We start from the raw sequence: 25,463 nt of genomic DNA, 5'->3' as shown, positions 1-25,463 counted from the left end.
ACCTCGCTTCATCCAGAGCCCCCCAGTTCCAGCTCTCAGAGCAGCATGCCGCTTCATCCAGAGCCCCCCAGTTCCAGCTCTCAGAGCAGCACGTCGCTTCATCCAGAGCCCCCCAGTTCCAGCTCTCAGAGCAGCACCTCACTTCATCCAGAGCCCCCAGTTCCAGCTCTCAGAGCAGCACCTCGCTTCATCCAGAGCCCCCCAGTTCCAGCTCTCAGAGCAGCACCTCGCTTCATCCAGAGCCCCCAGTTCCAGCTCTCAGAGCAGCACCTCGCTTCATCCAGAGCTCCCCAGTTTCATCTGATTCCCTATTTGGCTTTCACAAACTATGTCACTTTCGTAAAATCTCTTGGCAAAAAAAAAAGAAGTAGCATTTTTAACAATCACAAATACAGTAATTTGTCCACCTGCACCCAGAATGATTCCTACTGTCTCACATAGCAATTTCTAAAAGTCTTTCTTTTTTCTTTTTTTTTTTTCCGGCTGATCTGATGGCTTCTTAGCAGAGAACTGTGTGTTCCTAAGTTTCATCTAAATCTTGACCATTCGAGAAAAATCTCTTCATGAAGAGCCCGGAAATTTTGGAGGAAACAAAAGTGCCTTAAGTTTGCTCTTATCATGTAGAGCTTAAGTGTAAAGGACAACGTTCTATCTATAACCAAGGGTTTAAAAGAAAGAAAAGACCACAGAAAGCAGCGGCAGGATGGAGGCCTATTCCACTGAGTGAAAAATATAGAAACAAAAACAAAGAGATTCATTTTGTTGTTAAAAAGAGAAAGGAATGTGTGTGTTGAAGCCTTGGCAACCAGTGATGGATTAAACAAGGCAGCAGACAACCGCTGGGCAGGTTCCCTTCCTTCCATGGGGCAGGGGCCAACTCTGGCCAAGAAGGTCTGTGTGGGGCAAGGTGGGGCCGCTCCTGGACGTAAGTCACTCACTCTCTGGGGCAGGGCTGCCCTGCAGTCTGTGGAGCCTCCGGAGCTTCTCAGACACTGGTGCTTCCACCCACCTGGAGCCACCCCTGGAAGGCCCAGGCACTGTGCGGCCAGGTGAGTTTCTGCCTCAGGTTTCCAGGGCACTTCTGCACCTGCCGTCTGACTTACAATGTTCCTCCCTGGCACTTTTTTTATTCCTCTCCCAAATGCTTCTGTTTAATTGTTCTATGACGGCAGAATGAAGTTAACTAGCACAATCTGGAGAGAAATCTGGAAACCTTCAAAACATTACTATTTACACATTCAACGATAAAAATGTTTAAAAGGCTGTGGCACATGATATGTTTGGAGTTATCCATTTGTGGCTTAGTGGAAATACTACCATAGTTGATTCTGGCATTTTGGTTTCTGAGCCTTAGATGCAGAAAGTATGTTAAAAAAAAAAAATGAAAATCCTAATTGAATATTCATGAAACTGATTATAACTGAACCAATCACTTGATCCCAAAATGTTTTTTTCTTATTGGAGAACCTGTCTACCCTTTCACAGTGGAAATAATACATCCAGGAATGGCACCGGACAGGCTGCCCTCCTGGCAGATAGTGATGGCACAGCGTCACTGTCAGCTAATTGTTATGGAGCGTCATCCAAAAGCCAGTCTCCAGAGCTATTATCCGAGTAGCCAAGTGGAAGGAGATTTCCTTCCTTCCGTCCGTCCTTCCTTCCTTCCATCCTTCCTTCCTTCCGTCCGTCCTTCCTTCCTTTCTTCCTTCCTTCCTTTTCTTCCTTCCTTCCTTTCTTCCTTCCTCTTTTTTTTTTTTTTTTGACAGTCTTGCTCTGTTGCCCAGGATGGAGTGCAGTGGCATGATCTCAGCACACTGCAGCCTCCACCTCCCAGGTTCGAGTGATTCTTGTGCCTCAGCCTCCCAAGTAGCTGGGATTATAGGCGTGCACCACCACACTTGGCGAATTTTTGTAATTTTAGTAGAGACGGGGATTCACCATGTTGACCAGGCTGGTTTAGAACTCCTGGGCTTAAGTGATCCACCTGCCTAGGCCTCCCAGAGTGTTGGGATTACAGGTGTGAGCCACCTCACCTGGCCAGATTTCAAATCCTGGTGATAAAATGTGATATAAGGGAGAAGTCCATCCAAGTTCTCCAGACATCATCTCAGCCGACGTCTCTACAGGGCAATCCTCTTCCCACCTAGGAGTGTGCCCCTGTAGAGATGATGCCTGAGCAACACGCCTGGGCCTGCACCTTGCCTCTGGAGAGGAGTCCGGAAGTGTTAGGAGAGTCTTCTCTCAGGATGATGCTCTCTGTAAGCACAGGGTTTCTCTCAGGACAATGTTCTCTGTAAGCACAGGATGTTACCCAGCCGCACCTTACTCTTCTTTCTTCCGTTTCCAGAGGTCTCACTTCATTTTCTCACACTCCCCTGGCTCCTGGGGATACATCACTCCCCACATCTTCACATTCCTCCATATTCTGATTATCAAATTCCCTTAAATGTCGACATGCATTACTTGAAAAATGTAAAACTAGCAGATTTTAGTAACCTCTCAAACCCCTCAAAATAACTGCTTCTTCCCAGGCCTCACTGGGGAATGAGCCTCGTGTATTTCAGCACATACGCAGCAACGGGTGCCAGCTCAGCTCCCGACACTGCTTCAGGATAGCTTTCTAGAGGCATCATCTTCTAACGCCTTGATTTCGCCACAGCCAGCGCTTTCTATTTATGAGAATGAGATTCTCCTTGGGGTAAGTACGGGAAAAGGGGGTCTATTACTTAATATTAGGAAGACAATTCTGCACTTTAATATCTTCTGTGTTTCATTTTGTTCAGTGCATTTGAAGTTCAGTGAGCCTGAGCCCCCAGTGGGAGCAGAGCCCCTGTCACACCACGGCTCGCTGAGCAAGTGCTCCACGAAAGCCAGGCTCCAACTCCCCTGTGGGAATGGGACCGCTTTTTGATTCAAAGATTGTCCTCAAACAAATGTGGGAGCCTTCCTATTGGGAGAGTTTTAGTGTGTTATTATTAATTACCAACATTTATAGAGGTCATTTGAATCTTAGAAACTACAGGAATGTCAGCTCCTCTCACCATCTGATCATCCACTTAGCACCCTTCCCAAGGCTCCGCTCTGCCTTCCACCTCTCACTAAATCACACAGCTCTACACAGAGAGTTGGCAAAGCAAACTCAAAGTGCCTGAGGTTAGTCACTTCCTAAAGAGATGCACCACCTCGACACATGGAGACTCTCAGCCCAAACCCTTTTTCTCCCTGAGTCCTCTGAAGTCACTAACTATTCTTCCTCCCTAAATATCTCTGCAAAGCTTGCAGCCTGAATTGCTGAGGAACATTCCAGTCATGTGACTTCGTGTCATTCATCATAAGCCACCACTGGAGAGCACCAAATGGAGCCCATGAGACATCTGGGAATTCCAGCACCACAGAGACGAGGTCTTGGTCATGTGGGACCTGCTGGGAGGACAGGGGACCACCCTCCTGGAGCAGCAGCCGGACCTTCGAGAGCTGGGAAAACTTTAAAGAGGGGGCTGAGCTGGAAGGACCTGGGAAGATAGGGAGGCCGAGCCCCAGCAGGATGCCGGGAAACGATAATTCAACATACAGACTCAGGCAGTTCCAACAAGGACATGTTTACAACCTCATTGCAGCTTCATTGCAAAAGTCAAACTTCCCCCAGGACAATCTGTCATAGCTTAGCATGAACTTCAGAATACGGACATAGTCTTCATTACACTTCACAGAACTGGAATCCCTGTGTCCTAAAAGCAAGCTAAACTGATGGGTTCTAGGGATCTAAATCACTCAGTAATGAAAAAGTGTGCCTCAAAGTTAAGGGAAGAAATCAGAGGATGGGCAGGATGGGGAAAGAGCACAGCTCATTACTCTCAGTTGATCTGGACAAGGAGGCCCACCATAAAGAGCCCTCCTCAAAAAAAACTGATAAATAAAAAATAAAAAAATAAAGAGCCCTCCTCCAGTAGAAACTATGAGAAAGGGAGAGAAAGTGTTAGTGACAGTCAGACGGGCTAAGACACTAAGGCATCATCCCATTGCCACGTGAGCCTAGTGATGCACATCGTATCCTTGACTTAAAATATCACAGCTTCTCAAATAATAGCAGCCCTGAAAAAAAAATTCATAGGACATGAGCACCATTGTAACAATATGGGTAGGGAAATGCCACTAGGCGTAATAGAGTGGTGTTTCTAGCACGGCTGCCTCATCTGCATGGGTATTCAGCTTATCAAACTTGGGTGACAGCCAGATGTCTCCATTTATGTCAAATAGTGACGCTTGACCCGACTGAATGTGCTACTAGAGTCAAGATTTTAATTAACATCCGAAATGCTTTAAAGTGCAGTAAAACTCAATATCAGACTCTTACTAAATATTAAACGAAAAAATTAAGAAAATCAACATGAAGTCAAATGAAAACCACTAAAAGATTAAACCTTAGTTTGGTTCAACTGAAAGGGCGAAAACCTAAAAAGTTGTCATAAAAGTTCATTTTTAGGTATTCTCTAAAAATTTGTAACAAAATTTTGCAAGTGATTCACTTGCAATTCAGAGTGTACCCAACACCATTGAAAAATGAAGTAAATTTTTCTTACACTTTTAATATGGTTTGGCTCTGTGTCCCCACTCAAATCTCATCTTGTAGCCCCCATAATTCCCACATGTTGTGGGAGGGACCTGGTGGGAGATGATTGAATCATGGAGGCAGGTCTTTCCCATGCTGTTCTGGTGATAGTGAATACGTCTCACAAGATCTGATGGATTTAAAACGGGAGTACCCCTGCACAAGCTCTCTTTGCCTCCTGCCATCCATGTAAGATGGGACTTGCTCCTCCTGAGGCTTCCCCACCCACATGGAACTGTAAGCCCATTAAACTTCTTTCTTTTGTAAATTGCCAGTACTGGATATGCCTTTATCAGCAGTGTAAAAACAGACTAATACACCTTTCAACCAAAATACTGCCTAAAGCCTGGGCACTTCTACAGACACAGGGAAGAACCTCTGTGTTTAGAGCTGAGGTCCAAGGATTTCCTGTAGCCCTCCCTCACACTGACCCAGTTTGATAGTGATTACTCATTATCAAACAAGCATTTTAATCAAAGAATATCTACAATATGTTGACATTATTTTGCATCTTTGGTTCTCACAAGTGATGCTTTTGTCTCTTAACACATTTCCACCAAAATGAGTTCTTCATAATGGATGTAAGATACTTTGAGGGTTGATACAGAGATCATGATCAACTTCAATGTTAAAATGTGGCATTAATTCACCTTTAAATGTCAAGCCAGCAAAGGAGTGTGGAAGGAAGTTGGTGAAGCTGAGACAAGACACCTGGCCCCACACCGGGTTCCTGAAGCTTCCCAGGGCTCAGATGCCCTATTATAAAATTCAGGATTTGGGTGGGCAGACCTCCAAACCCCTCCTAATGCTCAAGTGAGGGAGGTAAATGGAAAATAGACTAGTTTTCTTTACAATATTCTACCCCTAAATATTATTAAGTAAGACAGACGTAAAATGTTTTATGTCCTCATTATAGCAATGTTCTAAGAAAGTCATGTGAGGAAAGTCTTGAAAAGGCCCCAAAGTTGTTGGGTAGTACCACTGTGGAGGAACATCACTACTTTTCAAAGTGTCTATTATGTTGTTACATTGCTTGTAGAATTCCTTTAATTACCTTAGAAGGATATCCCATAATTTCTTTCTAAGCAACTGCTTGGAGGACTGGGGTCTAGGGGATTTCATTTGAGGAGTTTTGAGGTCATTTAAATACATAGGTCTTAAGTGTGCTAATTGTGATGTGAGTGTAGCCACATAAGTGGGCAAATGCAGTACACCAAGAATATCTTTTGGGGTATCAGTCAATCAAAGCAAATTTTATCCTGTTTACAATAAAGTAAACGTTATCTATGAAAGGTTTCCAAAGAGTTCAAAATTCTAGTGAGAGAAACATTGATCAGGGAAGATATTTGAAGCCTATCACTTGAAGGAAACATGATTGAGCGATGAGGAAACCAAAGCACAGAGAAAATGAATCGGGCCAGCGTCAACCACACGGACTTCGGGGCTCTTCTCACCAAGGTCTCACCCACCCCCGGGCTCACCCAGCCCAGGGCTCACCACCCCGGCTCACCCACCCCAGGGCTCACCCAGCCCGGGGCTCACCCACCAGAGGGCTCACCACCCCGGCTCACCCACCCCAGGGCTCACCCACCACAAGGCCCACCCACTCCAGTGCTCACCCACCCTGGCTCACCCACCCCAGGGCTCACCCACCCCAGGGCTCACCCACTCCAGTGCTCACCCACCCCAGCTCACCCACCCCAGGGCCCACCCACCCCAGGGCTCACCCACCCCAGTGCTCACCCACCCCAGGGCTCATCCACCCCAGGGCTCACCCACCCCAGGGCTCACCCACCCTGGGGCTCTAGCTACAGACCCAAGTTCTGCTTCATTTTCACATGTGAGGGTGCCAGGATCCTGTTTCATCAACTCACTGGGATCAACCCAGGCATGACCGAAGGAACTCATCTTCCCCACAACCGGAGAATACCCTTCCCGATGCGGCAAACGCCCCCTTTCCAGCTTGTCCTCAATGTCACGCTTCCTGCCGATGGCCCAGATTCCCCACCAGGGACCCAGGCGCGTCTGTGACCTTCATCAAAACACACCTACGAAGCCCTAGACGCTTGCACAGCACGAGGCCCACGCCCCGGCTTTGAGCCTCGGGTTGACAGAACTTGCACTGATGACATCGCTCCTGTCAAACCGTTTGCTCCAGGACCTTCCTCAGGCCTATGACCTAAATCCATCACATGACCTCGTCCATCTGTGTCTCAAGTTCCTCATCTGCAAAATGGGAACAATGAGAGCACCCACCACATCGAGGGTGTTGTGGGGAATAGAGTTTATTTGGGTAAACCATTTTGAACAAGGCCCTGGATATAGTAAGCATTATTCATAATTATGACCACGTTTCCACACTGTTGATGACAACAGAGGGAGTACTTAATGTCCATAAATTAAACTTCCATGTTACACTATTTTCCAACACACAGTTAATACAATGAATTAGCTTTAATTATTATACAATGAGAATTAGTATAAGCAAACATCTTCCTGCTCTCTGCCTCCTTTACACCGAGGAGTGGGCGTTCAGACCACTGCAGGGTGCAGAAAGTGTTCCTAGAAGGAGAGCTGGGGGTGTGAGGCACACAGCAACATGGCACAAACACAACTGGAGGGCAGGGGGACGTGACAGAACAAGCACTTCACATCTCGAGCAGGAAGACGGCCCGGACAGGGGTGCAAGCTGGCCCAGGACCCTGGGAGCCTTCGTTTCTCCCCTAAGATGCCTGGGCCCCATTCCTTAGCAATGAAGGCAAAGGGTGTTGTCAAGGACACACCAACATCACACACAACTCAAAATACTGCACTCCAAAGAGGCTGCACTTCCCATTTTACAGCATGAAAGACTGAGACTCAGAAGCTGGTCCAAACCCATGGCGAGTGGGAATCCAGGACTCACAACAGAACTGGTGACGCCAAAGCCCAGGACCCCCAGGGCAGGCAGCATGATGCCCCCAGAGGGGCAGGGTGAGACCGTCTCCCTCCCAGGACCCCCAGGGCAGGCAGCACGATGCCCCCAGAGGGGCAGGGTGAGACCGTCTCCCTCCCAGGACCCCCAGGGCAGGCAGCACGATGCCCCCGGAGGGGCAGGGTGAGACCGTCTCCCTCCCAGAGAGGCTGCTGGATCCCAGTTCTCTCTGATGAGCCGGTACGTTGATGGCCCCAGGGGAACGGTCCCCACACCCTGAAGCCTCACCACAGCCCGGCCTCTGGGTCACACTGCAGGATTATGTTATCATGACATCCCCCCAGCCTTCCTAGGAGCTTAATTGTTTTGGAGTAAGTGCAAGAGGCCCAGGTTGCGTTGATTCCACGTGAGAGTGTGTCTCGCAGCAGGATCTTCAGGACCAATCTTTGTGGCAGGTGGGAAAGACCGGCCACCCCCTGTGCTGCCCCCCTCCCCAGAAGATGATGGCACACAGGCTGCAAGGGCCCCCCACCTTGAAATGACCGTGAAATACCACCATGAAAAAAGAAACAACTGGAATGTTTCTATTAGACTCATTAGAAAGAGGAGGGAAGAGAGAACAAAACAGGCTTGGAAAAATTCCAGGCCTTCGCCGAGCTGGGCCTGCCATCCTGCTCAGCAGGGTCAGGTTGATTTCCATTAGGACCAGCCCCAGAGAGGAGGCGGCACCACATGTACTCGTGGGCGTGGGGAGGGTGGGTCTGGGCCGGGGCTGCAGCGAGTGCGAGGCCAGGCTCCCACCCCGGCAGTGATCACAAGCACGGCTGGAAGGACGTGACGCGGGGCTCATGTTCTGGGAGGATTACTCTGCCGCATACATATGATGGGTGCAGGCTCCTGTGTATTTACAAACAGTGACTCCAGGCCACTTTGTGATTACTGGGCACCCGACGGGAAACACAAGGCGATGAAGTCACTGCAGCTCCAGTGCAGGGTCGGTGGGTGCCGTTTGTCGCTGAGTCCATCGCAGTCAGCCAGCCCCTCGGGCACTGCTTGTGTTGAAGGTGGGGTTGGATGGGTGGCATCCCCGTGGCTGGCGTCACGCTGGGGTGCTGGGGCAGCTTTTCAACTGGGTTCTGACTCCCCCGTTGTAGACAGTGGAATGGCACTCACTGGAAGCTGCACTTTGTTTTTATTGAAAGTGTCTAAACACACGTTCCTCCTGGCAGCCCTCGTGGACGGTCCAGAGGAGCTGCCATCTCCAGGTGACCGTGGAAGGGAGAGCTGGAGAGGGGCGTGGCGGCCGCGCTGTGCCTGAGGCAGTGTGAGGACACAGGGCTTTGCCATCTCTCCCAGGTTGTGCACAGTTTGCCAGAAGGAGAAAATGGAGCATGATGTGGAGCAGTTGCCGTTTCACATGAGCGTGTGCATGCTTGTCCCGAGCAGCTTCTTCAAAACCCTGCAGCCCTAGTCTTGTTGTTGCTTTTCCCCTGAGCTCATGCCTCACAGGCAGAGGGATGAAGACTGAACTCATTCACCTCGGTGGACATGACGACCCACCCGTTGCCCACATGGAGCAGCCCAGGCTTCTTCCTGCCCTCACAGTGACATGCCTTTTGCTTGCCACCAAAAACGATGCATCCAGAGTCCCCTCCAGGAAATCCCACCTTCTCCTCCTGTTAACAGTACCTGATGTCCCACAATCTGGAAGCACCCTCCTAAAAATGTAAGGAGGCTTCTCTGAGATCAGCCTGACCTGGGGCGCGTTTTGAAATCCAGTACTAGCCAGAACATTCTTGTGGGAAGGCCACTTCCCTTCTCAAGCTTCGGCACTGGGGTTGCTGACAGAGGAAAGCTCCACGTGGGAGAGTCACTGTGGCCACCAAGTGGCACCGGGGAGTCTCCGTGAGAGACCCTGCTGGGGTGCCGTGAGGGTCTCGCAGCACCGAAGGTACCTGGTGTGAACGGAACCCACTGCGAGGTTTCTCTTTGTGGCCTGCTTCAATGCAGCCTGACCTGGTTGAGGTTAACTCAAGGGCAGACCCATGGCCTGAGAATGGCCGCGGCCACCTGCCAGCCCTGCAGCCCCTCCACGCCCCACCCACCCTGCCTCAGTCTTGCAAAAACCCAGAGCCTTGCTCTTGCCCCTGCACAGCTAATCGCAGTCATAAACGGCGACAGCCAGGCTGTGTCATTAGGGAACGATGTGTGTGGGACCCTCTTTTAAACTATCTAGCAATTGAACCAGAAGCAGATGAAGTCACTTCGCAGAGCTCAGGCAAGAGACGTCGGCCCACACGTCCAGCTCCAAGCAGTGACTCCTTCCCAGCAGGCCCGTGCCCCCACGCCCACTCCGCCCTCCCTGGGCTCTGGGGTGGCCCTGGTATGAGGCGTCTGCAGTCAGAGGCTGGGCTGGGGGCATCTCCGCCCTGCCTGAGTGCCGCGCCCTTTCACAGGAACAGACCGGGAAATCGGGAAGTGAGGTGAAGACTCCGCCCAGACGTTTGCATGGATTCACGGAGCGGGTCACCCTAGTCCTCTAATGCTGTTGAGATACGAGGTTTTGAATCCACGTTGATTCTGCCACTTGCAATTTTCTCCCCAGAGCTGCCCATTTGTATAAAGTGAGGCTAGGTTGTTCGGTTTGTTTTAAACCCCTCAGGTCTTCCTCTAAGTTCAAGGTTTCGGACCTCCAGGAGATAATGGCTCATTCTATGTCCTTTCTGTGATATTCAACATCAGTAATTTTGAGTGACACCCCAGAGATAATAATGAAATCTGTACCTTTTCCTTTACATTTTATAAAATCTGTGTAACCTTTATAAGGTGAAGAAGTATCAAATGTTCTTCAGAAAGTTCATTTTAAGAAGGGAACAATAAACAAGTATAAACATGAACATTTTTAAGTAGGAGAGAATGAGGAAAGAAAAGGGCCCAGCCTCTCAAAGCCGGGACTTGAGGGCCGCCCACCACAGCCAGCTGCCAGGCCAGCCCGGGCTTGGTGGCTGCCGAGCCAGCGTCCTTCCTGCCCCTCTCTCTAAATCCATCATTTCTGATTCTGCTTAGAGAAAACCACGACTGGGACAAGACACAACACAGGAAAATGTTGAGTTGATTACAAAGTTCACCAGTTAATTCTTTTATATCTTAAAGAAGAAAACTCATAGACCAGACCCCAAGTCGGCTGCCCTCCCCTGGTCCTCTCTGGGGCCAACTGAAGGGTCAGAGCCAGGCTCTCCTCAGCACCCCTGGGCTGCACCTCAAGCTGGCCTGGTTCTTGGACAAAGCCCCAGTTCCTCCCAAGGCCCTTCATGGCAGCCCGTCCTCACTCCGCCCCGGCACCCTGCAGGGGCCCCTAACAAGCCCTCCCCTCCTGTCCTGGGCTCCCTGAACCCAATACACACAGCTCCCATCTGAGACCCCGGCCACCAAGACCCTCTGGAGTCATCTTGAGAGCCACCTTTGGGCCAGCGCCGACCCTCGGCCCCACACTATTATCCGGTCTCAAACCGGGACCCTGGCCACAGGGACCCCGGCCACAGGATGTGCACCTGTAGCATCTGCTGGAACACTGGCCACGCACAACCTGTCCCCAGCAGCGTCTTCAGCACATGGCCAGTACAGGTGTAGCTTCAGGATGCGTCCCATGGAGAAGTTGTAAGCTCACCTCCAAATCAAGACACACCCGGAGTGCTGTGGTATGATTTTTTTCACATATTTTAGTGGGTTTTCTTTTCCCTTTCTTCATCAAAGCCTCCTCTGTTCCCCAGAATGTGTGTTTAGAAAATCCCAAGAACAATCTGATCAAGCACCGGCTGAAGGGCAAACGGTCTACCTGCAAACACCTGGTCTCACTGCCCAGGTGCCTCCCATCTGCAGAACCTGTCAGAGCCGCAGTCTGGCCCTACCCAGGATGGGGAGATGAGTTGGGGGCACGTGTCCTGAGAGCTCTGGGTTTCGTGCTGTGAAGTTACGAGGGGCTATTTTCAGTTCTGAATGAACCTGGAAAACCCAGAAAGCATCTAAAGAAGAAAGGGTGAAGAAAATGTGTGACCAAAAAAAAAAGCCCAGTTAGATTTCGGCTGAGGTTAGTTCTAGGTTAGTTCAATTCTTCTTCACAAACACTTCAGCGATGCCTCAGCTCTCAGAGCCACAGAGCCCTTGGGCCTCCTCATCCTTCCTGGGGGAGCCGGGACACACAGAGCCCAGAGGCAGCCCAACAGGAGAGACGGCCACAGGGCAGAGTCACAGGAGGACACAGAGTGACCCCCTGCAGGCATCATGGACTGGGTGGAGCCTGGGAGAACAGAGACAGAGAGATGAATAAAGATAGGGAAATAGATGAATAGAGTAAGAGAGACACAGAGATAGTACAGAGATGGACAGAAAGAAGACACACAGAGACAAGGACAGAGAGAGATCGAGACAGAAATAGAGGGGCAAAGAAAGATAGACAAAACAGAGAGGGAGAATGGCAGAGACCAAAGATAGAATCAGAGAGACAGAGAGAGAGGAAGACAGAGAGAAAGAGAGATAGAGAGACAGAGATGGAGAATGGCAGAGATCCAGAGAAAGAATGAGAGACAAACAGAGAGACGGAGAGAGATAGAGGACAGAGATGGAGAATGACAGAGACCAAGAGATAGAATCAGAGAGACAGAGAAAGAGGGAGACAGAGAGACAGAGATAGACAGAGATGTAGTATGTAGAATGGCAGAGATCAATAGACAGAATTAGAGAGACAGAGACAGAAAGAGACAGGAAGAGACAGAGAGAAAGAGACAGAGAGAGACAAAGAGACAGAGACAGGAAGAAACAGAGACAGACAGAAAGAGAGAGAGCAAATGGCAGAGACTGAGAGAATCAGAGAGACAGGTACAGAGAGAGACAAAGAGACAGAGAGAGACAGAGAGACAAAAAAGAGAGCGAGAGAATGGCAGAAACTGAGAGACAGAACTGAGAGACACACAGAGACAGAGAGAAAGAGAGAGCCTAGCCTCTAACTCTCCACTTGGCTTTGCCAGGGAAATTCTTTTCTCCTTTTTGTTGAACTCCAGGGTAGACTGAGAAGAGTGAGGAGGAGACCCGGAGACAAAGGCACAGCCCGAAATGACAGGGCCGCAGGGTGACGGAGCCTTGAGGCCACCACACCCCCTGGCTGCCCCACACCCTCTTGGGGCACAGCCCTGGGTCCCGAGTTCCTCCCCCACCCCCGCCCGCATTTGTCAGGCCACCCTGAGCACACTCTAGAACAGCCTGCACCTGCCTGCGTCGGACAGCAGATTCAAGCCACACTGCCCTGAATTCCTCAGGGCAGATTGCCCTGAGTGTCCGGCCAAGGCCCTGGGGACTCTGGTGCAGAAACAGAGGCTGTGTCCTCCCAAGACCGACTTCCAGGGAACTATGCCCCCGGCCCTGCTGTCAGAGCCACTGGGAGGAGGGCGTCCTGCCCCTGCTGTCAGAGCCACTGGGAGAAGGGGGTCCTGCGTGGAGCCCAGAGGAAGCCCCAGAAATTGACAGAGTGTGGCCTGGGAGTCAGCCTCGTGTCAGCCTCCAGGAGCAGAGCAGGACAAAAGCCTCGGCCTGGCGGGCTGCCCTCCTTCCTGCTGCCTTCTAGAATAAAGTTGGCCAGACAACCTACAGATATGTTTGGAATTTAACAAAACAAAACGAAATTAAAAGGTAGTAGAAATGAGGGAAGGGACTAGGAATGGTGTACAAATCTAAATGACAGCTGCTAATGATTTTTCAAAATTTCCTTCAGATTTTGGGGTACAAAAAAATGCAAGTGGTGTTTTGAATATCTGAGCACAGAAATTTTGATTTGCTGCACTTATTGTTCTTTTGGGTTAAAATCCCTCATGAAAATCACATGTCTGAGAATCCTATTACTGGAGAACACTGAAATATAATATTCATTTAGCAAATAAAATAAGTTAAGCGATTGCTTTGAATAAAACCCGACTCACAAAGTGGACTGACCTCACAGCAAAAAGAAAATAGCACCCTATTTAGCCAGTCCAGGCCCCAGGCAGGCAGCCCGCCTCACACTCCCCCTGCTTACTCTGGTTATTTTAAAACCAAAATTCTGCTTCAATAACATGATACTCTTATCTGATATGTGGGTAGTAATCCTGAATGTAACATGCATATCCCAGACTTCTAAATAAAGACAGTAGAAACATCAAGCTAAAATGTCCCTGCTTTTTAATTCCCTAATTTAGCATTCTGCATCATGAGCCAATTCTTTAAAGCTGGAAAGTTGAACTCACTTGGGGCAGCAGGCCCGTGGGGTATTTTTGCAGGCAAGGTGGCAGAAACTTTGCTGGTGGTGGTAACCCCAGACCCCACCATGCGACCCTCCCCTAAAAGACAGAGCTCAGCCATTCTGGGGCTCCCTCCTGTGGTGGATTCTTGGAACCAGGGAACCTGGGAGACAACCTCTTCCACCTCTTCCAAAAAAGGACAGGGGCTTCCCCTCACACCAGCTGGGTGATTGCACCTGGATGTTTCCAGCAGGGTGTAGGTGGTGGGAGAGATGCCAAGAGTACAAAAAAAGAAGTTATGACTCCACCTGGGTTTTATCTCTAAATGAAAAGAAAGATCTATCTTTGGCAACTCTCTCCAAAAGAGAAATCTTTTAAGAATGAAGAACTGATTAGCATACTCACAGATCTGCGTATCCTAAAAAGAAAGAACTTAACGGACGTGTATGTTCAGGTCAGAGAGATTGCTCAGTTTCCTTAGCCTAAGATGTTTACAAAAACCTAGAAAATATACACCCAGAGAGGGAGGGAGAGAGAGAGAGAGAGAGAGAGAGAGAGACAGAGACAGAGAGAGACAGAGAGAGAGCGCGAGCTGCCTGGCAGGGATTCTGTGAGGACACAGGAGATCATGTCTGCAGGGCACAGAGAGAGGGCTCTGTCATGTTTTAGGAGAGAAGGGTACAGAGTGTAAAGTGGGTTTTTTATTCTTACAGGCACCTTAATCCCATGTTTCAGATGCTTTCATCCTGTTTCTGGAGAAGGCGTCCATGTTTCCAGAAAATAGCCTTCGCATGTGGCAGAATGAGGCAGAAAACATGCTCTTATGACTATTCAGAGCTCATGGGACAACGTTCTTCACAAAGTGTCAATTATTGGATGAGTGTAAGCTTTTAGAGTAACATTTCCAGTTACATGTACTCGGGAGTTCAATTTAGCATTTTACTGATGATTTCCAAGACCCCGGCTGCAGGCAGGGGCGACCCGAGGGAGGGAGGGAAAGCTCAGTATTCAGCTCTCCTGGGCTTTCCCCTGGGGAATAAATCAGTGCAGCAAATGGAAAGGTAGCCTGAGGGAGTGAGCTCTAGCCACACCCATTGCTTGGGAGAATTAAGGCCAACCCATTCACGGGAAGAAACAGGATCCTGTAACACATTTGCATCAACTGGTGGCTGTATTTCCAACCTAGGATAATGGAATCAAGATGAAAATCTAGTTTGAATAAAAATAATACGTAAAGTATCATGTGGGGGTGCCAAAAAATTCAAAAAACAATGAGTGGTGGAAACTGGTTTAGCAGAATCTTAAATTTGGAGACACTTAGGATTATTATCTGATCACCAACTAGTGCCACCTCACAAGGTCACGTTCGGGTTTAAGTGACCAAATGCTTGTGCAAGACCATATCTGGTGTTGGGACCACATTCTTAAAAGGATATCAATGAACCAAAGCTCCAAACAGAACCCGGTGGAGAAAAGGAACTGAAAGTGTCAGGGCCCGAGATCATTCTTTTACATCCTGGGGAAGCAGCATCTACTACATGCATCCAGCACTTCAACATGAATATCTCATTTAGTCTACACAAACACCCCAAATACTGGAAGAGAGAACCCAGGGCCTGAGAAGAAAGGGGTAGAGGAACAGGGAAGAGAAGGACTGGCTGGGAAGGGGACCCATCTGCTGACAACCTAAGCATCTTGTTTAAATACTTAAATAAGGGGCCCTGGAAAATAGATGATGTCCGTTCCTGTTGATTCATTAAGAGATAAATGTTTAAAGATTACACAACTCTCAGCCTTCATTCAAACACAAACCCTTTCAGCATTCCTAGTTGACAACTTCTTATATAGGATCCAAGAGGAATTCTCCTTAGAACAAATTTCGCTCTATGGTGACTGGCATGACAGCAGGCCACCAGAATGCTCACATTATCTTTCTTGCTCAGTGTTCAAAACTTTATGTACATTTGTATTCCAAAGACAGAGGCCTAGACTGTCTTTGAAAGGGCCGTAATGTCATATTATCCAGATTGATTCACCAGTAAAAGCTACCTTCATCTTTTCTCTCTCCTTCCTTTTCTTTTTTCTCTTCTCTCTCTTCTCTTTCTCCTCCTCCTCCTGATAGATAAGCACATCTCAAGGAAGCAGCAATGACAGGATCCTGATTGAAACTCACTGTCCTTGGGAATGTAGGACCACAGGGCACAGTCCTGACCAGGGTCGGAATGGGATTTGATAGGCTGCTAACTGCTTCTTCTTTGATGCGGCCATTTCACAGTGAAGAATATGACTGTCCCTCTAAAGATATGTATGTTACAAAATTTAACTCAATTGTCCTTTGAAATGAAGGGATGACAGAAAAGCACGTGTTTATTTTATGCTTCATTAAAGGTAATGAAACCTTCTAGAGGGTCCAGAAGTGCTTGTCACACACAGGGAGCTGGACAGCCCAGAATCTTAATGCCAAAGAATGGCCATGCACGGTTTATCTGACAGTCCCAAGCTGCCAGCCACCGCAAAATGAAAGGATACTAACTTCTTTTTTCCAAGGTACATTTTAGGTTAGTTTTAATTGTACTTAAAAAAATTCTTGATTACATAGACCCACATCCCATGTGGCATGAATTAATATACAACCAAAACCAAAAATATACCCTAAAGTTGGCCTGATTCTTTTTCATCCAGATCTCTCAAATTATTTTTAAAATTATAAGCACATATGGAATTTCCTTTGTTATTTGAAATTTCTATCTCCTATCTAAAAGTAATTCTCTTATTTAAAAGGTGACTATATTTTATGAAGTCATTTTCCCTCAATTCGATTGCTAATGTCAGGAAGAATATTACAGTGACCGCTATAAATGTGAGGAAAGTTTGTACACATGGTTCTGAGATACGACTTCAGATTTACATTTTTTTCTCAACGTTATAAGAAACGCCATGGCAGAGGAATAAGGGGGCAAGCGTGTGGGTGGATTCATGTGAAGACGGATCAATCTGCACAGACACTGGGAATCAGACAACAGAAGCTGGACACAGGGAGCCACAGGCAGGTCTGCGTTCACTTCTGAAGATGGGCGATGGGCCACAAATGTGGTTCCATGTGAGCGAAGAAAGAAAAAACCAGGTAATTAGGTGTAAAAAAACTGAACATGGGGGTTAGATTTTGAGTGGCACATTAGACCCACAACACCAAATGCAAGCAGGGCATCATAAAATAGTAAAATTGGAAAATATTTGGTGATATGTGTCTGCCCAACACAGGGACCCCATTGAGGTAATATCAACCCTACCATTCTAAAACTGAAAACGTGCCCAAAGACATTAGAATTATTAGTCTACTCACTCCAACAACACGTTTCCATCCTTGCTCAAAGTGCTACGAATATGTTAATTAGTACTTTACTTTAAAACGTAAATATGTATCGCAAGGCTTATGGTAGGAAGAGGGAGTTTAGCAAAAGATGTGCATAAGCCTCATTGCCTCAGTGGAGACAGGGTAGCCAGCACCATCCTCCTCCCCATCACCATCCTCCCCATCACCATCCTCCTCCCCATCATCGTCCTCCCCATCACCATCCTCCTCCCCAGTTCTGTCCTCCTCCCCATCTCCGTCCTCCTCCCCATCCTCATCCTCCTCCCCATCACCATCCTCACCATCCCCGTCCTCCTCCTCATCCCCATCTTCCTTGCCATCTCCGTCCTCCTCCCCATCCTCATCCTTCTCCCCATCATCGTCCTCCCCATTGCCATCCTCCTCCCCATCTCCATTCTCCCCATTGCCATCCTCCTCCCCATCTCCATCCTCCTCCCCAGCGCCATCCTCCTCCCCAGTGCCATCCTCCTCCCCAGCCTCCTGGGAGTGGTTCCACACCTTCTGCTTTGCTCCTGAAAGCCCAGGTCACCACCAGGAGGGCTGCTCAAGTCCAGCACAATGTTGCTTTCATGGCAGAGAATTTGAAAGAGTCTCTTCTGTGGGAGGATTTTGCTCCTTCACAACTCAGCCCTCAATATCATCAACTCACCACTAATCCTAGTCACAAATCGCAGGTCGGTTTGGGCCTGATGTGGGAGAATGCCTACCATCTTCCTGGTCCACTGTGGGCTGATACATGGGACAACCCTGACCTGGGCAGGGAAAGCCTTCAGGAGTCAATGTCCCTAATCCCAAGAAGAAATCAAATGTCCATGGTGACACCCAGCTGGTATGCAGGGTGGATTTATTTGATTCTAGCGCCTTCACTGATCACTGAACAGAGTAAGAGATAAACAAAACACCCTGACGCAGGCAAGGTCAACTTACATACCACAGCATTTTTTTTTTTTTTTTTGCCAACAAACTGGTGAACTTGTCCTTTAAGAAGTGACTAAAATCCAGCAGACTCGGTATCCAAAATGAGATGGGCCTAATGGTGACCTGCACTCAAGGGCTCTGAACCCCTGATCAAACACACCACAGGCCATCGTGTTTACCTACAACTCTTCCACCTTCAGAAACTTTGTTATTATTGGAAGACTCTTTTCTAAGAACCTCAAATGTTAAGAGTTTGCCTACCCCTTTCCCCCCAAAAATGTCTGCCCTCGGCTGGGGGCTAGGGCAGGGATAGGAACAGTGAGAGATGATGCAGCTGGCTCTAGGGCAGGGCCCAGGGCACCCACACTTTAGCAGAAGGAAGGAGTGTGAGGAACAGAAACTAGAAAACCCTTCAGGGAGTCTCAGCTGGTGCTAAAATAGAAATAGCAGCATCCACGGTCAGTATCTTGGTAAAAGGAGAAGCAAAGGAAGTTTCTTCTAATTTGGGCAGAAGCATAAAAGAGAAAGAAAATCGATGACCAGCCACAGTGAGTGGATCACCTGAGCTCAGGAGTTCGAGACCAGCCTGGACAGCATGGCAAAACCTCATTTCTAAAAAAAAAAATACAAAAAATTAGCCAGGCGTTGTAGCGTGTGCCTATAGTCCCAGCTCCTCAGGAGGCTGAGGCAGGGGAATCGCTTGAGCCCAGGAGGCAGAGGTTACAGTGAGCCAAGAGTGCACCACTGCACTCCAGCCTATGGGACAGAGCAAGACCCTGTCTCAAAAAAGAAAACAAATAGATGACCACGGGGAAGAAGACCGTAAAGTGGGCAGAGATATGTGCTGAAGGAGAACGTAGCCTGGACATGCTATATTGACATTTGCCTTCTCTTAAGTGACAGTTTAATTGGTGGATATGCCACATTATGTCATACATAATAAAAATCAAAATAAAATCGTGGTTCATCAAAAAGAAGTCATTCTGAGACTCTCTGTGTTGAAAAATCTAGTTAAATTAAGCCAGATATTATAAAATTTTCATTTGTAATTTTTTAACCCTAAACATATAAATGTGATTTCATATTTTACTTGGTTCTCTTTATTTGTTTTATTACAATCTTTGCTATTTGATGTCTGGCCTGGAACTGCAAAACCACATAAGAATGTCTGTTATTTTCACTTTCAGAGCAATTTCTTTTTAGCCCATAGGAAATTAGGAATCAACAAAAATATTAATTCATATTATAAATCTTCCCTCTTGTGAGCTACAGTTAAATATCCAATATATTAACTGTTGTACATATGTTACAGACACACAATGACTAATGCTGGGATCTTGCTCTATTACTCAATGCCATCAATTGGAGAAACATAAGGGCTGGCAGTTCTAAAGACTATTTCTTTAATTTTCTCCTCTAACTTCAAAATCCTACTGGAAATTCATCATTCTAAGTTTGTGTGTTGTATGTGTAGAACAGTTTATCTTTTGTTTTTGTTTGTTTTTGAGACAGAGTCTCACTCTGTCACCCAGGCTGGAGTACAATGGCAGGATCTCGGCTCACTGCAACCTCTGCCTCCTGGGTTCAATGAATTCCCCTGTCTCAGCCTCCCAAGTAGCTGGGACTACAGGTGCGTGTCACCACACCCAGAGAATTTTTGTATTTTTAGTAAAGATGGGGTTTCACCATGTTGGTCAGGCTGGTCTTGAACTCCTGACCTCAGATGATCCACCCGCCTTGGCTTCCCAAAGTGTTGGGATTACAGGCGTGAGCCACTGCGCCCGGCCCAGTTTATCTTCTAATTCAAAAATATATAAATGTTACCCTTGACCTCCAAACCAATGTTCTGCTGACAATCTTAATAACAATCCCCATTCTAAGATCCTGGATTGGCAAGAAGGCTTATTTTGATATAGAATTACTGAGAAATCTGTTCGGTTCTGAGCCATTGCAACTGACGTTACATCCATGCCCATTGGCTGCATGGTCTTGTTAGGGACTGCAATTGCTTATAGTGTTATTTACGGTCTTGATTTCACAGCAAAATTAAAGTGATTCTTCCAGATGTTTGGGTTTTTAGACGCCATGTAAATGGGCTTCTAAGTTGGAAAATTTTGATTATGTTTAGTTCTCTCCTCCTTAACCACCTTCGTGGTCCGTCTTCTACTGGGGAATGCAGTAGAAGCCCTCCCAGAGCATGAAATGGACTCAAGGCATTTGCAATGGAAGAAGAAAGGAAAAAAAATCACAGTAATTCCCTTGAAGATCCAAGGCTGAGTGAGAACTATATCAAAACAGGATGAGGTACGCATTCCAAACCACAACTGCTCAGAAATGGAATAGCATTTTTATTTTGGCTGTTTCAGCAAAATCAATATTAAATCATCTCATGAACTTGCTAATGAAACTTTAAAAAAATTACACATGGCTAAATATTGTTTTCTTATCACCTTTCTTCTCTTTCAAAGCAAATAAACACAAATAGGAGTGGGAAATAACTGTTTCAGGTCTGTGGTCATGCATTCCACAAGACCAATAAGAGGCATTTACCAGGTGCCAGACCCTCTGTGAGAAGATGAGGATTCAGGATGAAAGTCAACTACAGTCTGAGAGGTGAAACGGCAGTGTGGAATTGTAAAGTTCCTGAAGACAGTGCAAAAAACAGTGCAGGGAACTCCCACGAAGAAAGAAAAATAATGGCAGGATGACTTGAGAAATATTCGGATCTGCTTAGTGACCAGGTGCCCTTCAGAGTCTCTCAAAACTTCAGTTTCCTCATCTCTTGAATGTGGAGACAACGGTACCTTTAACGAAGTCGTGCGTATGACCTTAGGGGAGCGTTAGGTATTGGCAGTAAGAGAAGTCTGAGAAGGATGGTAATGTGACTTCAACATTCTAAGTGTGAGCAAAATATGATTTAGTCAACATGGGAATGAATACTTTGGCTCTAACCAAAAACTTCTGGGAAAGGGGTCCCAGGCAATATTGTTCTTCTCTCTGCCTTTAAAGAAATCACCTAGGTATGGGCTTATGGATCAGTCCATCAAAATTCATATAATGACAACCATGATAAAGTTGAGTAATTGTGATCACGCCTGTTTGCTCTTTGAAAACAGAATTATGTGTAATAAAAACCATTTATACTAGAGATCATTCCCTCATCTCAGTCATTCACAGAAATAAAAAGGAAAATGGGCACGGTGTGGCATTCAATGTACCTCCTTCTTCAAGGAAGAAATTGACCTGCATCCAAATTAAGAGCGCATTGGACACACTTAAGAATGCCATTGTTGACTGGAGGTGAGAGGGTCTGAGCAATAACCAGGAAGTTGTGCAAAGCCATCAGAAAGTCACAATGAGAGACACAGAGGGCCTCATGGTGCCATTTCTAAAGAATGACTTTGGTGGAAAGAAGAGAGATCATTACCAGACAAAGTGGATTCTCTGAATCTTAAACATAAAGTAGCAGAGGTGAGCACACCAGCAATGCTGGACCCACCAAGAAAGCACACTCACCATAGGTGAGTAAGACAAATGCGTGGTCCTGAGAAGCCAGGTATGGCAAACTGAAAGCCCCAGAGAGGCTGACATATTTCCCTGCTTCTAGATGAGAAGAAATGAATGGAGTAGAAGGAGGCAGAGAGGCAAGCTTTCCTCCTTGGTCTATAGAGTCCCACATGGCTACTCCCACAAAGTCCACAGATACACCCAGAGCCAAGTGGTGTGCTCTGAGAATCTGCGGCAGGTGAAAATACTGCAAAGTTGAATCCACACACACCTTAATGCCACAACGCTATATGCATTGATAATTACGGTATCAATTGATAGCACTCTCTTATACGGACCCACGGCATGGGCACCATCAAAACAATGTTAGCTGGAGAACTCACATATAGTAGGCGCATTAAAAGCCCTACCTTTAATCCTCACCACATGCTTGAAAGAGATTATGTATTCTCATTTTACAGATAAGGGGACTGAAGATTATGAAATTAAGTAACTTGCCTGAAGTCACACATCCAGCAAGACCCTAAGCTGTGGGTCCCACCCACTGCATGGACTGATACTGCCTCTTGATTTATTAAAGTAGGTAGGATGCAAATCGTAGGGAGAGAAGGCCCTTCTTTGAATGAGGGCCTCCGGAGACAAAAGAGATTTCCAAAAACCAGAAGGCAATTTGAAAAGAGATGAGCACACTGAAAAATCCTGCACATCTCACATCTCCCAGCGACCAGTCAGATTTCAGGCCTGCCTCAGTTACTTTGTAACTCAACTACTTCTTGATTTTCTAGACTGGGGGTGGGGTGAGAAGAAGTGTGCCAAAATGTGTTATGGCTTTAATCTTTTCTTCGGGATACTGATTTTATTTGCAAATGTAAATTTCAGGCAAACTGTTCTTGGGGAATGCAGCCAACAGGGCAAAGCCCACGTGGGGTATCAGCTCCTGCACAGAGACCCCACATGCAGCGGGTCTCACCGCAACCCAAGACATCCTTGGGGCAACCTCAAGGGGGCAAAAGGTGAGAGGGTTCAAGTAAATAGTTAGATGAGACAGGGGAGAGAAGACAAGAAAACCTGCCGAGTCTTAAACTGTTCTAATTACTAACTACCTTGATTCTGCTCTTCCAGGGGGGACCAACAGGCCCAACCCCACCCCCCACACACACAGGGCAGCAGGCAGATGGCAGTCTCTACTTTTTGCGCTTTCAGAAAATCTGAAAATCCGTGGCAACTGTAGGTACCTGCTGCTACAGTCCTGGAAGAAAATGCTATGATCTCCTTTGGAGAATTGGCCTTAGTTTCTCTGTCTCCTCTAGTGTGCTTTAAGAGTATGTGGGGGGTCTTTTTGTGAGTGTATACGTGAGTATATTTATGTCTAGATGCATGTACAGATGTGCATATACATGAATGCCTCCAGTGAGTATCCTCTGAGGGCCCCCTCTGGGGAGATAAAGGATCTTCAGGGAAAGCCTGAGTGTGTGAAAACCTCCTTGGAGCCCCAGTTAGCAGTTTCTAATCTACAAGTCATTTGTGAGACACAAGGCAGGGACCCCGGGCTGCTGCAGAAGAATTTGAGGTATGAGCAATGAACTCACAAACCATCCTTCACACTGCTAAAACGCAAAAGAAAGAAGACGAAGAAAAAGAAAAAGAAAAAGAAAAGATGCCCACATGACTGTTTTAAATTTGCTGAAAGGCAGAACCGACCACAGCTTATTTCAACCATCTTTATTTTCAATACAATAAACACCTTTAGGACAAGTCCCCGGCCACTTAAAAAAGACGGCTGTCCACCAGAGGCGTTCTCACTACCTTCGTGTTTTCTCAAACACTTGTTCAAAAACACATTTAAGTGGAATGTTTTCGTTTCTGGCGATTGCATTAATGATGGGTTTGCAAACCCTGCAAGCCCAGGAGGACGGCTGGAGCTGGGGGCTGCAGACACCCGGCCTTGGCCCAGCGGCCGCCGCGGGTTGGCTTGGCCGGCGGGGGCTTGGCTCAGCCCCCTCTACATAGCTCCTCGTTTGACACCGCGTGCGTTGGCCGGGCCAAGGCTGTCGCATAGAAGTTACAGCTCAGAAAGAAAAACACACAGCGGTCAACCGCGGTGACCCTCGCGCTCAGGAGCGCAGCATCCCTGCCACGAGGAAGAACCCAGAGGCCCCGCAGAGCGGGGAGCCGCCGCCTGCCTCCAGTTCTGTCCTGAGAAGGGAAGAAAGCGCTTCTCTAATAACACTCAGGCCCGTGAAGAATCATCTGTAACCTCATCTGCTTCTTCCTCGGCTCACTTACGAGGGTCTCTGGGAGAGTCAGACCCACGAGTGGGGCCCACGACTGGCAGCCCCTTCAGCCGGCGAGAGGCCCGGGATCCGCGCGGCGCACGAGCCCAAAGCGGTCGGGAGAACACGCTCCAGGCCGGGTCCCCGTGGGCGAGGTGGGCGCCCAGTCCCGGCGGGTCTGTCTTGGCCTTGGGACAGTCCGCGGGGCGGCGCCGGCGCTCCCAGACCTGGTTCCCCACAGGCTCAGGCCCAGCAGTGAGTGCGGGACACCCGAGCGCACCCGCAGCTCCCACTTGTCCGGGGTCTGCAGGACCCCAGGATCCTCTCACAGCCGGGTCAGAGCCCCCGAGGCAGGTGGGGTCCCAGCCGGGTGGAACCCGAGGAGCCCGTCGCAGCCGCAGCAGGACCCCGGCGGGCAGGGTCCCCAGAAGCCCATCCCAGCCGGGTCCCAGGCGCGCACGCTGCGTCCTACCTGCTCCAGCCTCGCCGGCAGGCGAAGGCTCCACGGCCCCCGGGGCCACCTGCTCCCCGTGCCCAGGCGCCTGGGCCTGGAGCGGGGCGCGGGGACCCGAACCCGGCCGGCTGCAAGAGGCGGCACCACTTGAGCTCCAGGTCCCGCGGGCCCGGGCTTACCGTGAGCGCCGAGAACTTCTGAGCGGGCACCGGCGGGAGCAGCCCAGCGAGCAGCGGCAGCCAGCAGAGCTGGGGGAGCAGCATGGTGGCGGAGGTGGCGGGAGCGGGAGATCGGCCGCGTCCTGCGCCCTGGCACTGCAGCCGGGAGAGCCCAGTGGGCGAGCGCGGCTGGGCGGGCGCGTGGAGGGGCGGCTCCGCGATGCTCTCCCCACCGCTCCCGGCGGCCCGGCTGGAGCAGCTCCCCTGCAGGCACCCAGAGGTCCTCCGCGTTCTTTGCGTCCGCCCTCGCTCCTGTCAAATACCCCGGAGCTTCCCGGATCCTCCCCTCCCGCCCGCCTCTCTCCCTCCCCCTCTCCTCCCCCAGCCCCACCTCCCAGCGCCCGCTGCCGCGCCCGCTCCGCTCCGGTGCCCGCTGCGGCCCAGAGGCCTCCCTGGCGCGGGTCTGCGGAGCGAGAGGTGGAGCGGGGGCCACCAGGGCTGCGCAGTGGCCTGTCCGGGCTGTCTCTGTGCCTCCTTCCCCGCGCGCACTCTCACACACACACGTGCACACTTACACACACGCACACCCAGGCACACGCACGCACTCATACCCACGCGCGCGCACCCTCGGGGGGCTTCCAAGCACAACCACGGGACGCACCGCGCCCTCCTCACGCCCCAGGGTCCAGGCCCGGTCCGCGCAGGATCAGCCCAGCGGGACTTTTCATCCACAAAGGTTAACGCCAAGCCTTGGCCGGTCCCCAGACTCCGGGGTTCTCCTTGACCTCTGCCCTCTAAGGCCCCCTGGTCCAGCCCAGAACATTGCCTCTCAGAGGTGCTGAAGGATCAGCGGCGCTCCAGCAAAGGCAGCTGGGAACACATGTCCAGGAAAGGCTGCGCCGGGGGCAGCCCGCCTTTGGCATCTTTACACGGGGTTATCCACTGCAGGGATGGGGGAATTTAGGTCCTAAAGATCCGGGGTCTGACCTGG

At 49.0% G+C, this 25,463-nt stretch overlaps 1 protein-coding gene across 4 annotated transcripts in view, besides 2 other annotated features; it reads right to left on the bottom strand.

Moving 5' to 3' along the window:
* Positions 1–24,764, bottom strand: part of SMOC2 (SPARC related modular calcium binding 2) — a 226,809-nt gene extending 202,045 nt beyond the window's left edge. For all 4 annotated transcript variants that reach the window (NM_022138.3, XM_011536066.2, NM_001166412.2 and 1 more), the window contains exon 1: positions 24,494–24,764. In NM_022138.3, the coding sequence (NP_071421.1) occupies positions 24,494–24,577 (84 nt within the window). In that variant the 5' untranslated portion in view covers positions 24,578–24,764. The remainder of the gene's footprint in view (positions 1–24,493) is intronic.
* Positions 8,073–9,046: an enhancer, noted in NCBI's record as "H3K4me1 hESC enhancer chr6:168857582-168858555 (GRCh37/hg19 assembly coordinates)". NCBI's record gives its function as "activates a minimal SCP1, AML or CMV promoter by ChIP-STARR-seq in naive H9 embryonic stem cells {active_cell/tissue: H9 hESC(naive)}" and the evidence as "EXISTENCE:reporter gene assay evidence [ECO:0000049][PMID:30033119]".
* Positions 10,758–11,259: an enhancer, noted in NCBI's record as "H3K4me1 hESC enhancer chr6:168855369-168855870 (GRCh37/hg19 assembly coordinates)". NCBI's record gives its function as "activates a minimal SCP1, AML or CMV promoter by ChIP-STARR-seq in naive H9 embryonic stem cells {active_cell/tissue: H9 hESC(naive)}" and the evidence as "EXISTENCE:reporter gene assay evidence [ECO:0000049][PMID:30033119]".

The sequence above is a fragment of the Homo sapiens genome, chromosome 6 (genome assembly GCF_000001405.40).
Source record: "Homo sapiens chromosome 6, GRCh38.p14 Primary Assembly".
NCBI lineage: Eukaryota > Metazoa > Chordata > Mammalia > Primates > Hominidae > Homo > Homo sapiens.
Note: the sequence above shows the minus strand (reverse complement) of the source record. Positions and strands in the feature narration are given on the sequence as shown.